This window comes from Homo sapiens, chromosome 21 (assembly GCF_000001405.40).
Source record: "Homo sapiens chromosome 21, GRCh38.p14 Primary Assembly".
Classification (NCBI taxonomy): Eukaryota; Metazoa; Chordata; class Mammalia; order Primates; family Hominidae; genus Homo; species Homo sapiens.
This window is the reverse complement of record NC_000021.9, coordinates 39,726,117-39,741,968: the sequence shown is the minus strand read 5'-3', so window position 1 is coordinate 39,741,968 and position 15,852 is coordinate 39,726,117. Positions and strand designations below refer to the sequence as shown.

The 15,852-nt window shown below is 44.5% G+C and overlaps 1 protein-coding gene across 1 annotated transcript in view; it reads right to left on the bottom strand.

Moving 5' to 3' along the window:
• Window positions 1-15,852, bottom strand: part of IGSF5 (immunoglobulin superfamily member 5) — a 90,311-nt gene that overhangs the window by 60,113 nt on the left and 14,346 nt on the right. The window contains exon 3 of the mRNA XM_047440699.1: window positions 13,977-15,204. Within this exon, the coding sequence (XP_047296655.1) occupies window positions 13,977-14,346 (370 nt within the window). The 5' untranslated portion in view covers window positions 14,347-15,204. The remainder of the gene's footprint in view (window positions 1-13,976; window positions 15,205-15,852) is intronic.

The following is a 15,852-nucleotide window of genomic DNA, read 5'->3' as shown; positions in this document are numbered from 1 at the left end:
AGTAAAACCATACAGTAGCCCCTGCAATACTCCAATTTTAGGAGTACAGAAACCCAAAAGACAGTGGAGGTTAGTGCAAGATCTCAGGATTATCAATGAGGCTGTTTTTCCTCTATACCCAGCTATACCTAGCCCTTATACTCTGCTTTCCCAAATACCAGAGGAAGCAGAGTGGTTTACAGTCCTGGATCTTAAGGATGCCTTTTTCTGCATCCCTGTACATCCTGACTCTCAATTCTTGTTTGCATTTGAAGATCCTTCAAACCCAACATCTCAACTCACCTGGACTGTTTTACCCCAAGGGTTCAGGGATAGTCCCCATCTATTTGGCCAGGCATTAGCCCAAGACTTGAGCCAGTTCTCATACCTGGACACTCCTGTCCTTCAGTGCATGGATGATTTACTTTTAGCTGCCCGTTCAGAAACCTTGTGCCATCAAGCCACCCAAGCGCTCTTAAATTTCCTCACTACCTGTGGCTACAAGGTTTCCAAACCAAAGGCTCAGCTCTGCTCACAGCAGGTTAAATGCTTAGGGCTAAAATTATCCAAAGTCACCAGGGCCCTCAGTGAGGAACGTATCCAGCCTATACTGGCTTATCCTTATCCCAAAACCCTAAAGCAACTAAGAGGGTTCCTTGGCATAACAGGTTTCTGCCGAATATGGATTCCCAGGTACGGCAAAATAGCCAGACCGTTATATACGCTAATTAAGGAAACTCAGAAAGCCAATACCCATTTAGTAAGATGGACACCTGAAGCAGAAGCAGCTTTCCATGCCCTAAAGAAGGCCCTAATGCAAGCCCCAGTGCTAAGCTTGCTAACGGGGCAAGACTTTTCCTCATATGTCACAAAAAACAAACAAACAAAGAAAAAAAAAAACATGAATAGCTCTAAGAGTCCTTGCGCTGGTCTGAGGGACGAGTTTGCAACCCGTGGCATACCTGAGTAAGGAAATTGATGTAGTGGCAAAGGGTCAGCCTCATTGTTTACGGGTAGTGGTGGCAGTAGCAGTCTTAGTATCTGAAGCAGTTAAAATAATACAGGGAAGAAATCTTACTGTGTGGACATCTCATGATGTGAATGGCATACTCACTGCTAAAGGAGACTTGTGGCTGTCAGACAACCATTTACTTAAATATCAGGCTCTATTACTTGAAGGGCCAATGCTGCGACTGTGCACTTGTGCAGCTCTTAACCTGGACACATTTCTTCCACACAATGAAGAAAAGATAGAACATAACTGTCAACAAGTAATTGCTCAAACCTATGCCACTCGAGGGGACCATTTAGAGGTTCCCTTGACTGATCCCAACCCTAACTTGTATACTGATGGAAGATCCTTTGTAGAAAAAGGACTTCAAAAAGTGGGGTATGCAGTAGTCAGTGATAATGGAATACTTGAAAGTAATCCCCTCACTCCAGGAACTAGTGCTCAGCTGGCAAAACTCACTCGGGCACTAGAATTAGGAGAAGGAAAAAGGGTAAATATATATACAGACTCTAAGTATGCTTACCTAGTCCTCCATGCCCATGCAGTAATATGGAGAGAAAGGGAATTCCTAACTTCTGAGGGAACACCTATCAAACATCAGGAAGCCATTAGGGAATTATTATTGGCCGTACAGAAACCTAAAGAGGTGGCAGTCTTACACTGCCGGGGTCATCAGAAAGGAAAGGAAAGGGAAATAGAAAGGAACCGCCAAGCAGATATTGAAGCCAAAAGAGCTGCAAGGCAGGACCCTCCATTAGAAATGCTTATAGAAGGACCCCTAGTATGGGGTAATCCCCTCTGGGAAACCAAGCCCCAGTATTCAGAAGAAGAAATAGAATGGGGAATCTCACGAGGACATAGTTTTCTCCCCTCAGGATGGCAAGCCACCGAACAAGGAAAAATACCTTTGCCTGCAGCTAACCAATGGAAATTACTTAAAACCACTCACCAAAACTTTCACTTATGCATTGATAGCACCCATCAGATGGCCAAATTGTTATTTACTGGACCAGGACTTTTCAAAACTCTCAAGCAGATAGTTGGGGCCTGTAAAGTGTGCCAAAGAAGTATCCCCAGGCCATACATTTGAATCCCTGTATCTTTAACCTCCTTGTTAAGTTTGTCTCTTCCAGAATTAAAGCTGTAAAACTACAAATCATTCTTCAAATGGAGCCCCAGATGCAGTCCATGACTAAGATCTACCGCGGACCCCTGGACCACCCTGACAGCCCATGCTCCAATGTTAACGACATCGAAGGCACCCCTCCTGAGGAAATCTCAACTGCACAACCCCTACTACACCCCAGGCCAGCAGGAAGCAGTTAGAGCAGTCATCGCCAACCTCCCCAACAGCACTTGGGTTTTCCTGTTGAGAGAGAGGACTGACAGACAGGACTAGCTGGATTTCCTAGGCTGACTAAGAATCCCTAAGCCTAGCTGGGAAGGTGACCACTTCCACCTTTAAACAAGGGGCTTGCAACTTAGCTCACACCCAACCAGATAGTAAGGAGAGCTCACTAAAATGCTAATTAGGCAAAAACGGAGATAAAGAAATAACCAATCATCTGTTGCCTGAGAGAACAGTGAGAGGGACAATGATTGGGATATAAACCCAGGCATTCGAGCCAGCAACGGCAACCCCCTTTGGGTCTCCTCCTTTTGTATGGGAGCTCTATTTTCACTCTATTTCACTCTATTAAATCTTTCAACTGCAAAAAAAAAAAAGCAGAAGAAAAAAAGAAAAAGAGGGCGGGACTCAATGGCTCATGACTGTAATCCCAGCACTTTGGGAGGTCGAAGTGGGCGGATCACTTGAGGTCAGGAGTTCAAGATCAGCCTGACCAATATGGCAAAACCCCGTCTCTACCAAAAATACAAAAATTAGCCAGGCGTGGCGGCAGTCTCCACAAAAAATACAAAAATTAGCTGGGCGTGGTGGCGGGCTCCTGTAATCACAGCTACTCAGGAGGCTGAGGCAGGAGAATTGCTTGAACCCGGGAGATGGAGGTTGCAGTGAGCCAACATTGCACCATTGCACTCCAGCCTAGGTGAGAAGAGTGAGATCCTGTCTCAAAACAAAAAAAAAGCTTCTGCCCTCCTCGTATCTGCCAGAGAGGAGGGCATAAATTTCCCTTGTGAAGATGTACCCTCATCCCTCCTATGAGGGAGATAAGAACGACCTCTATCACCAGAGAAGGAGACAGCACCGAGATGAGTCTGCATGGATTAAACCTTGCAAAATGACCCAATCTTTCACAACTTTCACCTGTGTGTCTACTCGCCCAGTGTCCACCCCTAGAAGCCCAAACCCCTTTTCCTTTGTCACCTCTCCGCAGTGTATTGCCCTTTGCTAAAATGGTATCTAAGCTCCCAAATCGAACCACTTGTTTGGGTCTCCACTTTCTTTGAAGGCCTCCACGCACATAAAAATTAAAATATTATCAAGTAAAATGTGTATGCCTTTTCTCCTGTGACTCTATGTTTTGTCACTTTAATTCACAGTTGCCAGCTGATATGGTTTGGCTCTGTGTCCCCACCTAAATCTCATCTTGAACTGTAGCTCCGTTAATTCCTGCGTATTGTGGGAAGGACCCAGAGGGAGCTAATTGAATCAAGCGGCTGTTGGGCGGTTTCCCCCATACTGTTCTCATGGTAGTGAATAAGTCTCACAAGATCTGATGGTTTTAAAAAGGGTTTCCGCTTTCACTTCTCTCATTCTTTCTTGCTACTGCCATGAAAGAGGTGCCTTTGCCTTCTGTCATGATTATGAGGCCTCCCCAGCCCCCTGGAACTGTGAGTCCATTAAACCTCTGTTTCTTCCCAGCCTTGGGTATGTCCTTATCAGCAGCATGAAAACAGACTAATGCATCAGCTGCTGAATGTAAGAGAGTAGAAGTGTGATATATAGATAGAAATAGATATCGATGACATAGATATATACACACAATAGGTTTCCACCCATGGTTCCTGGCTCATAACTCCCATCACCCTTCTGCGTACTCTCTTGAGTAAACAGAATCTCTCTCTCTGACCTACTCCCACTCTCCTTTCACCTTCCCATAGCCGAACTCTAGCCTGTTTGTGGGTCATAAGGCCCTCATTCCAGAAAGGGTCCTGCCGCATCCCTTGGAGGAAGGAATGCTGCAGAGAGAGGCCAAAAGAATGTGAACAGACAGGCCCTGCTGGGTTTAGACCAAACCCTTTTTGCCCAGTCTCATTTCAACACACCTGTCCACGCTGCAACGATACATATCCAATGACGTCTCCGGAACACATGGAGGTTCCTGGGGGGCCACACACCCAGGGAAGGCATGGAAGCTCCGCCCCCCTTCCCACATCCCTCGCCCTGCGCATCTTCATGGTGTGAGTTGCAATATCCTTTATCATAAGCCGGTAAACATAAACAAGTGTTTTCCTGAGAGTCATTCTAGCAAATGGATTAAACCAAAAGAAGGGATTGTGGGAACTCCAGCTTGAAGCCGGTCGGTCAGAAGTTCTGGAGGCCTGGACATGCAGATCGGTGGGAAAGTACAGGGGGTCTGTCTTGTGTAACAGAGCCCTCGCCCTGTGGGATCTGAGCTGTCTCCAAGTAGAAAATGTCAGAATGGAATTGCAGGACACCCAGCCACTGTCCAGTGCAGAGCTGAGTGCTTGCTCGGTGGTGGGGAGAACCCCACCCCTGCCAATTTGTGTTGGAGAACCCCAACCCCACCCAGAAGTCTGTGCTAGTTGTTACGGTGTTGAATGAGAGAACAGGAAAAAGCACATTGAGTGGTGAGGGGTTTTTTTTTTTTTCACACGAACAAGAGGAAATATTTTTTTCCCTTCTACTAGGAGCTGGTAAGAAAAATGGTGAACAAAGCAGACAGATCAGGGAGACAACATATTAGCCGAATAATCTCACAAATATACACAGGGTTGTAGCATCTTATCCATGGGCCATGTCTCTGCAGGCCTAGCATAAGTCATAATTCAAATAACTCCAGAACAATGTGCCATAGGAATAGAAATCTGAGGTCAGGGTAGTGCATTTGTGCCCTGTGTGCTTTGTAATCTCTTGGCCTCTGTCATCATGCGTCAGTCGGCACCAGGAGTTGTGAGGGCTGGCCAGCAAAGCACTGATCCCATCTGACTCCCCTCACCAAGATGCCCGGCCTCAGCCTCAGCCTCAGCACCACTACTGGAGAATATTGTTAGAGCTTCTGGAAGATGTTAAGTTATGATAACAATGAGTGCTACAACAACAATGCATATGCCTTAGTAATAGCCACTCTCGGAAGTTCCATAGCAAGTACAGGGTCCCCAACCCGGTGACCCCGGGCCGGGACTGTTTCTATTGACCAGTTACAGAGAGGCCACACTGGGGCAAGAGAGGAAGCCCTATTTACCACTCTTTGGAAATGCAGCTTTTTTTTTTAAATTATACTTTAAGTTCTAGGGTACATGTTCACAACGTGCAGGTTTTGAAATGCAGCTTTAAAAATGTACAGTCCTGGGAGAGACTTTTGCTTTGAGGTGTGTGTTTTGTTTTGTTTTGTTTTGTTTGGTAATTTGGGAGATTTGCATTATTTCAAAGTTTAAGCATAAAGAGAGACTTTACTAACATTTTTAGCCTATGCTATTTTAAAATCACAAAGTTTAGATTTGCATAAAACATATTCATGTTGTAATTTAAATTGCAGTCAAGGCCCTGAAGGAACTGTTGATGGAGGGAGAGAGGCCCTGGGAATCCCTGAGGAAAGGGGGTTTGTACTCAGGTGAGGGGCAGATTTTAGGCATTAAGTGGGTAGGATGAGGGGGCGTGGGGAGGACCACCTCTTGGGGCAGAGAGAATGATGGGTATCGAGGCAGCAGGGTGGGTGCCAGGGGGCCTGGGACCCCTTAGGAAGTTAAAAGAGGCTGGTACATACTGAATGCAAGGAAGTGAGAGTGAGGGGTGGTCTTAGACGAGCCCACAGAGGGGCCAGGCCCAAGCACACAGTCAAGAGTTTGCCTTTTATCTTCAGGTGTAAAAAGGAACATCAGGAAAATTGTAAAAAGAAGTTGAAATGGGCGAAGATTGTGGAGTGATCTGATTTAATAGGGCCTGAGCTGCTCTTAAGGGATTTACAACTCTAAGCTGTAGGAAGATGAGAGCAAGCAGATAGTTTGTATACCTGGAAATGCAAGTGAACTTTGGGGGAGAAGTCATCGATTTTTGCCCTGCAGATATTGACCAATTTTGCTTCTATTTGTAAATTTTTCAGCGTCCATGATGGCATATATATGCGTGTTCTTTGAGTTCTCCATTGAATCTCTTGTAACATCTTGCCCATTCCTTCATTCATGACTTAAATCCTTGGCAGGAATTTATTTAGATTTGTATGAGAACCATGATGTTATCTTTTTTAAAATCCTTTAACAAAAGGCTTTTGAGGAATTTCAAAAATTTAGGTATATGAGGAATTTAGGCATATGATTCCTGTAGAATATTTAGAAAATATTTTTAAAAGTAAGTTAAATTAAAGGGCCAATATTTAACTTTTTGTAATCTATACAAATAGCAGTTTTCTATTAGACTCAACATAAAGAAGAAAATAACAACTATTTGTAATTTCAGTAGCACCCATAGTTAAGCGTTATGAATTTTTAATGACTAACTTTTATGATTTTCTTTATTATAAAAGTGATACACAGTCATTATAGAAAAATTAGGAAAAGAAAGCAAAAAGGAGGAAAATTTTAAGACAGATTACTCATAAGACCATCGTACAGACACAAGCACTGTTACCAGCATAGCATATATTTGTTTTTTAAAAATGATTATCCTTTGGCCAGGTACAGTGGCTCATATCTGTAATCTCAGCACTTTGGGAGGCCAAGGTAAGTGGATCACTGCTTGAGGCCAGGAGTTCGAGACCAGCCTGGCCAACATACTGAAACCCCATCTCTACTAAAAATACAAAAATTATCCAGGTGTGGTGGCACACACCTGGAATCTCAGCTACTTGGGAGGCTGAAGCAGGAGAATCGCTTGAACCCAGAAGGCAGAGGTTACAGTGAGTTAAGATCATGCCGCTGCACTCCAGCCTGGGTGACAGAGCAAGACTATATCTCAAAAAAAAAAAGATTATATTTTACCTGCTGTTTGACAACCAGATGTTATTGACTTAATGTATGAGAAACCTTTGCTTCCTATCAGTAAATACATTATGTTTAGTGACTAAGTGTAATCCCATCAATTTGATAACATCACTTACAAGTAGCTTCCCACAGACGAAATTCAGTTGCTTTCAATTTCTACCATTACAATTGGTGGCGAATACCAGCATCACTGAATCAAAAAGGATACACCTAATGAATCCCTTAGAATTAGTTCTGAAAAATGCAATTGCTACCATGGAGTCAGTTTAAAAAAATCAGTGGTTATCAGGAGCTAGAGGAGAGAGAGATAAATAGGTGAAGCGCAGAGGATTTTTTAGGGCAACAAAACTATTCTGTATGATATTATAATGAGTAATGAGTGTGTGTGTGTGTGTGTGTGTGTGTGTGTGTGTGTATTTTTTTTTTTTTTTTGAGACAGAGTCTTGCTCTGTCACCCAGGCTGGAGTGCAGTGGCATGATCTCGGCTCACTACAACCTCCGCCTCCCGGGTTCAAGCGATTCTCCTGCCTCAGCCTGCCGAGCAGCTGGGACTACAGGTACGTGCCACAATGCCTAGCTAATTTTTGTATTTTCAGTAGAGATGGGGTTTCACCATATTGGCCAGGCTGGTCTCGAACTCCTGACCTCGTGATCTACCTGCCTTGGCATCCCACAGTGCTGGGATTACAGGCGTGAGCCACTGCACACAGCCATCATTTTTAACTTTGTATTGAAGTAGTAAAAGTAATTTTACATATTGAAAATCTATTTTTTCACTTCATCCACTAGGTTGAATAGTATTCACCCAAAATTCTTGTCTACCCAGAACCTCAGCATGTGACTTGATTTGGAAACAGGGTCATTGCAGATGTAATTCATTAAAGGAAGGTGAGATCACACTGGAGGATGGTGGGCCCGAATTCGATATGACTGATATCCTTATAAGAAGAGAGAAATTTGGTCACAGAGGCACTCACGGAAGGCAGACATTGTGAAGACACATAGGGAGAAGGCTGTGTAACAAAAAAGGCAGAGATTAGAACGATGGCCAGGGAAGGCCAGGAATTGCCAGCCACCACCAAAAACCAGGAAGAGGCAAGGAAGATTCATCCCTAGAGCCGTCAAAGGGAACATGGCTCTGCCAATACTTCAATATCAGACTTCTGAAATCAAGACTTCTGACCCCCAGTACTGTGGCAGAGTGCATTTCTGTTGTTTTAAGCTTTCTAATTGTGGAGCTCTTCCCAGGCAGCCCTGGGAGGCTAATATGACCACTTAACCAAGTAGCCTAAATGTTTTTCCATAAGTTTCTGTATTATTATGAAATAATTTTAAGTCACTAAACAATATTATGTTTTATGGATGTACTGCCAATTATTTAAAGAACTATTATTAAACACTAAGTTGCACCACTTTCGCTATTAGAAGCATTTTACTTGGACACCTATGTGTACTTTCATGTATTATATAGTAGAATATAATTTGTATATATAATTTTATATCCTTTTTAATTTAACACTACATTATAAACATTGTTACATATCCATTAAAAACCATTCATGAACATTGCTTTAATGGCTTCATAATAATATGCTACATTTATGATACAAAACATAAAATCATTTTAAATACATCATAAGAATACCCATGTGGTTAAGCATTATGTCGTTTGCCATTTTTCAATATTGCAAATAATACTGAGATGAATTTATGTATGCATAGAGGGTTATTGTTTTCTTTTATTTTGTCTTTGGTACTATATCTTTTTTTCTTTTTTCAAATACTGCATTTTAACTTTTTAATTTTTTTAATTTTATTATTATTATTTTGAGACAGGGTCTCACTCTGTCACCTAGGCTAGAGTGCAGTGGTGTGATCATGGTTCACTGCAGCCTTGACCTCCCAGGCTCAAGTGATCCTCCCACCTCACCCTCCCAAGTAGCTGCGACTACAGGCACGTGCCACCACACCCAGCTAATTTTTGTATTTTTAGTAGAGACAGGGTTTCACCATGTCACCCAGGCTGGTCTTAGACTCCTGAGCTCAAGCAATCCACCTGCTTCAGCCTCCCAAAATGCTGGGATTACAGGTATGAGCCACCACTCCCGGCTTGGAATTATATCTTAACTATATTCTTTAACTCTTTTAATTAGAATTATATGTCAAAACATTTCTCACTTTAAAATTATTGATAGAGTTAAATTAGTTTCCAGAACTATGCCAATTTACAATCCCACGTTTTGTGTCAGAGATAGCTTATTTCATCACACCTTCAACAGCAATGCTTATTGTCATTTTCATAAGGGTGGTATATTTGGGTACAAAGTTGATAAATCCCCCTATATCTAAGAATTTGCAAAACATTCTCTGTCCATTGCAGTCCTTGATTCACAAAATCCTATGAAGAAAGCAGGTTAGAACAATGTGTACTTACGGTTGCAAGAGCTGTTTTTCCCCTTGGATAGGAATGTCACATTGTCACTTAATGGTCTCATTTAAGTTATCCTGGACATCAACCATATTACTAGAGACATAATTAGCAATTTTGGTATGAGGATGAGCAGCAGAAAATTTGCCCTCTATTTAAACCACCCCAAAAATTAGTGATTTCAAATAAGAACAACCATTTATTTTGCAATCTGGGCAGGGCTCAGTGGTAATGTCCTGTCCTGCTTCACATGGGTCAGCTGGAACAGATCAGCTGGGGCTATAGGATTCACTTTCAGGGTGGCTCATTCACAAAGCTGGAAAGTCAGTCCTGGCCATTGACTAGGAGCTTGGTTCTGGCTGGGCTGAGGGTCTTACTCTCTTTGACATGGACCTCTCTGTGGGGCTGCTTGGGCTTCCTCACAGCATGGCTGCTGGATTCCGGGAGCAAATGCCCCAAGAAACAAATAAAAGCTACAAGTCTTTTGCAGCCCGAACCTAGAATTGGGCACAGTGTCACTCTATTAGTTTTCCATTGGCAAATAACAAACTATTACAAATTTCATGCCTTAAAACTATACCTATTTATTATCTCTCAGTTCCATAAAAGCCTGGGAAGGTTTGACTGGGTTCTCTTCTTAGGTAGGGTCTCATAAGGCCAACATCAAGGTGTTAGACAGATGAGTCCTTTTCTGGAAGCTCTGAGAACGATTCCACTTCCAAGCTCATTCAGTTTGTGAGCTGAATTCACTTAGGGGCTCTTCTCAGCTTCTAAAAGCTACTTGCACTGGTTGGCATGTGGCCCCTCCATTTTCAAAGGCAGCAACAATGCACCCTATTCTCCTCCTGCTTCAAATCTCAGACTTCCTTGTTTGCTGCTAGCCGGAGGAAAAACTCTGCTTTTAAAAAGTCCATGTGATTAGACTAGGCCCACTCAAATCATATCCCTTTTGCTCTAAATCACAAGAGTAATAGCGCAGCATTCCCAGACTCTCCCACACTCAAAGAGAAGGGAATATGGAAGGACATGCATCCTCAGGACTTATACCACAGCCACACCCAAGGTGCTCTATCAGCCACGCACTCACAGGGTTCAGATTCAGGGAGAGGGGACTTAGACCTCTTAATAGACCTAAAAACAAACTGCGATAAACCGACCTCTCAACAGAGAAGTGTGCAAGAAGCGATAAACCGACCTCTCAACAGAGAAGTGTGCAAGAATTGGGAGATTATCCTAGATTATCTTATAACACCACCACATCTTCAAATTACTTTGGCTGATAGGGGAGGCTATGGGGGAGTGGGAAAGGATAGCCCATGCATTCAAAGACATTCCAGACAAGCAAGCTCCCAGCCTGATGGGCCTCGGGTGTCAGCTGTCTGCCAGGGGACAGGAGACCTTGTCAGGACACTCTGGTTTGTCCATGGAGAAACAGTGGTGCTTGCTGATAGGCGAGAGGCCTTTAAAACATGCACAGTCTTTTAAAGCATTCATTTTGGGGCCTTTTGTTGGTTTCTTGGCTCTAAGCCAGGAGTTCCCATTAGTGACTATTGCATGCCCGAATAGTTGGACAAAAAGCAAACTCAAAGGGGCCTTGAACGTGAACTTCGATTTTCAAAGACAAATGAAACATGTTTTGAAAATGAATCCCAAAGCACAGAAAAGTATAAATTGCCTTCGGAACATTATTATCTAATTTACTCTATTTTATTTTTACTGGAGAATTCTCATTTTTGGCACGTCAACATGGCTTGCCACATCACAGGTGTGCATGGCCGAGAAATGACTACGCTGGCCTTTTTTGGCAATTCGTGCTATGCAAAGAGCTGGTCGTTGCTCAAGAAACGAACTCCCTGGATGTTATTGTTGGCCTTAGTCGTGGAATCTTTCTTGCTTCTGAGGATGAGAATTAAATTTACTTTGACATCAGCTATGAATATCCATCAAGCAAGCTGGTATGGGTTGAGTTGTGGCCCCCAAAAAAGACATGTTGAAGTCCAAACCCACAGTTCCTCAGAATGTGGCCTTATTTGGAGATTCTCAGGGTCTTGATAGAAGAATCAAGTTAAAACAAGGTCTGTATAGTGGGCCCTAATCCAATCCAATGTGACTAAGGACAATGTGATTGTCCTTATAAAAAGGGGCAATTTGGACTCAGAGGTAGAGGCACAGAGACAAAAGGCAATATGAAGAGACACAGGAAAAAACACCACGTTAAGACAGAGGCAGAGGCCAGAATTATGCTGCCACTAACCCAGGAACATCAGGGGATAGCAGAAGCAGGAAGAAGCAGGGAAGCATCCTTCCCTCCTAGGTTTCAGAGGGGCCATGACCCTGCCACACTTAGTTTCTAACCTACAGCTTCTGGAACCGTGAGCAAATGCCTTTCCATTGTTCTAAGCCACCAGGTTATGGTGCTTTGTTATGGCAGCCTAGGAAACTGATCCACACTGTTGGCTGGACTCACACCTCCTCCAGTTGCTCTGCCCAAGTCCTTGAAAGGCTGGGATCCCATTCACCTTTGCCGCCCTCTTTTCTCTCACGTCACACTGCTTTATTCACCTGGTGTGTTTCCTCCAAAAATCGAAACCAGGCTCAGTGGTTGTTGGGATCTTTCTGTAGTATCCCAAGACTTCAAAGGACTGCTTTTTAGGAGAGCTGTATTCCAAGTCTTGAACAGTCTTAACATTACTTCCCCTTCCTCTCTTTACTTATTTATTTGTTTATTCTGTGTATGCTCCTGGCCAAGACCTGCTGACTGATCACACTTGGATTTCTATGCTCCTCCTTTCACAGTATTCTCGCCATTCTGTAGTCCAATCGGCAATCTCCACCAGGAAGGAAACCACCTTTGCTGTCTGCTTCTTCTGAAGTCAGAGACTACAATGTGCTCCTCTTCGTGCTCTGCATAATGCCTGATCCACTGTCAAAGGCAAAGAGTGCCCCGTGAGCACCAGCTGCCATGCCCCCATATCCACTTTCCCCGATTCTATGGCAACCGCATCCCTACATTTTAGCTGGGCACAGAATGCAGACTGCATTTCCCAGCTCCTCCCCTCACCTCACCCCTTGAATCTAGGCATGGTCATGGTGGAAATTCTGATCAGTGGGATGTAAGGAGATCCTGCAGTGAAGAGAATTCTGTTCTTCTCTTTCGCTTTTCTCACCTTTCTACTGGCTGGAGAGTGGAAGTGGCGTTAAGCCACCAAAAACAACACTTGGCAGAGCAAGTAGACAGGAGGAATCTGAGCTTCTGTGGGCCCTGAGGAGCAGGACTGCCCCATATGTAGCTTTCTGTAAAGAGAAATACACGTCCATCTTGTTTAAGTCACTCATATTTTGGTCTTTGTCACAGCAGCCAAACCTAGATATCAACTAATCCAGGTGGATACATAAAGAAAAGTTGGAACCTACAGAGAAAGTAAATTATTGGGCAAAGATTGGGTCCTAGGTATTTAGAAAGAATGTAGATTTGGGGTCACAAATAGTGCAAGTCTCCCAACCTCCATCAGACTCAGTTTCCCTTCTATAAAATAGGATAATAGCAGCTACCACATGGGATGATACTAGATTAGACTTGATATGTTTGTAAAGTGCCAGGCACATAATAGGCGGTCAGAAAATGGTAAATGGAATTATGATTAACTGTATCACCAAAAAAAGAGTTCATTCAAAAACTAAAGTCTCATTTAGACAGCAGTGTCTCCCTCTTTGCACAGCGTAGAGGTTATCCTAGCTTGGGTTTCTAATAAAGAAAACTCTGGAAAAATGGATTGTGACCAGGCAGTTTATTGGAGAGGTCACCCCGGGAGCACGAGAGAGGAAGCAGAAAGAGCGAGTGCGTCATCTCCTGAGGCTGCCATGACCACCACTGGGCAGCTCAAACAACAGAAACTTGTTCTCTCACATTTCTGGAGGTTGGGAGTCCAAGATCAAGATGTGGGAAGGCCAGGCTCCCTCTGAAAAATGTAGGAGGGAATCCTTCCTGGCCTCTTCCTGGCTCAGGTATTTGTTGTCAACCTTGGCGCTCCTTGGCTTGAAGCTGCATCACTCCAATCCCTGTCTCTGTCTGACCATCACACAGTCTTTTCCCAACATATCTTCACATTGTCTTTTTATAAGGACACCAGTCATACTGGATTAAGGGCCCACCCTAATCCAGCCTAACCTCAGCTTAAGTTGATTACATCTGCAGAGACCCTATTTGCAAATAAGGTCATATTCCCAGATACCAAGGGTTGGGACGTGAACATATCTTTTTGGGGACACAATTCAACCTGTAACAGTGAGACTGGGGAGGAAAAAGCAACAATATTGCCAAGGAAACTGCTGTGAACAATGGGCGCTCCATTCTGCTTAGACATACTGAGAAGGGCACAGAAGGCTCTAGAACAGTCCCCCCAAGAAAAACAGGAGGTATGAGCCTTTACTTACCAGCATTTTTCTCTAGGAATATCAGCTCCAACAACTGTGAACTTTCCCCATTCGTGGCATGAGAGGAATCCTGATGAAGAAAGTAAAACCTTGCAGCCCGTGCTTGAAGTAAGCCTCTGTGAGCATGCAGCGACTTAACCACGGAACAGAAACACACCCCATCTCTGCTGAAATTAGAGGTTAGGCTGAGAGGGCATGAGGCAGAGCACCACATGGGTCTGCAGCAGCTCCCCCCCTCGTTCTTCTCAGATTGTTCTGTCACTAAGCCTGCAAGATCGTGGCCAGCCACCATCTCCAAATGACTCCAAAGAGAAGGCGTGGTGGACACGCCACCTGCAGCTAACCAGGGACCATGGTTGGGACGTGTCATCTCCCTCCTCCACCGCACGTCCTAGATTTCTATCAGCGCTTATGATGGTCTGGGTGACCTGCCTGAGCACTGGCTGGCCTTTTCACCGCTCAGGGTCTGAGCTCTTGGTTGCCTTGTGTTTATCAGGCTCTGATGGCTGCCCAGTCATCATTATCCCCAGACTTGGAAGCACCAGAAGAAGCCACCGACAATCTCCTCAGTCTCAGCTGTGTTTCAGTCCCCTGGTAGCAACCATAGCCCCATTGAGAGCTGGAATTATCTGTCCCCTGATGGTGGAGTAACTTCTTTCTTTGCCTGCTCGTCCACTAGTGGGCCCAAAGGGACCCAGTGATAGTCATATTTGGGTTCAACAGAACCTTTACTGTGAACCTCAGCAGAAGCTGCCCTGCTTCATCCCAGGAACCAGGATCTCTAGTCCTGTGGAATATAAGTTCTCAGGGATAGGAAGCAAAATTCTACTAGTGGGTCACTAGGAGTTACACGGAAAGCAACCAATCCTACTTCCAAGATTTGGTTTCCAGACCCGTGTGTCCTGACAATTGGTGTCAAAGCATCATAGGTAGGCTGCAGGTTCAGCACCACACTGGCTGTTGTTACAGCACTGTGGCCACCCTCGAGGCCAACCCTGGGGAGCATTGGCCCTCAGCTGGCAACTTTGCTGAGCCATCAATGGCCTTTCCATTGTTCATGTAGGCTGGCAGCTTCCAAGTCATCCATATGTGGTCAAAGCAGTGGATCCCACAGTCATGCATTCATGGCACACCTCTTTGATGATAAAATGGGTCCTTGGTTTGGGCTGATGTTATGCAGGTTTCTGTTTGAGATGTCATTCCTCCTGGAGGCCCTCAGGTAGGGGTGCTGGCAGGAGAACAGGCAGAAAAGGCAAATCTGTATTAGCAGCAGGTGTCAATTCCAGTAAGGGAAAATCACCTCCAGCTGCAATTGAAGGGGCCAGATGTAATCAACCTGCTATCAAGTGTTTGCTGGTCCCCCAGGGCTAGAAGCGTAGGACAGACACAGTGGAGGCAGCAGCTACATCAGCCTTGGTGAGGGGCATGCACCGCCTCCACCCTGCCCTGCCATCTTGGCTCCTCCATCCACAGCCACTGCCTGAGCACTGGTGACTGAGGAGAGAGGCCAGCTAACACCACCGGATGCGGCACCCAGAGGCCCTGGTGGACCCCGACATGAGACAGAGGCCTGCGTGTCTTCTGCGCACTCCAAGCAGCCCATCCACATGCCACTATCCCAGCCTTTGTAGACTCCAATCTTCCAATCTTTCTTCTCCCAGGCCTCCACTAGAGGTCTCCATCTAATTTCTGAATTTCTGGTTAATTTTTCAAAATGCTGAAATCCACAGGCTAAATCATGGAGAAAACTCTTTCAAAGTCCACACAGGAATCAAGGTCTGACTTCGTGGTCTCTCCTCCTACCCTAGCGAGTTCTGCCACCCTGCCCATGAGAGGTGAACACACATAGACCCACACACAGTTAAAACTGACAGTA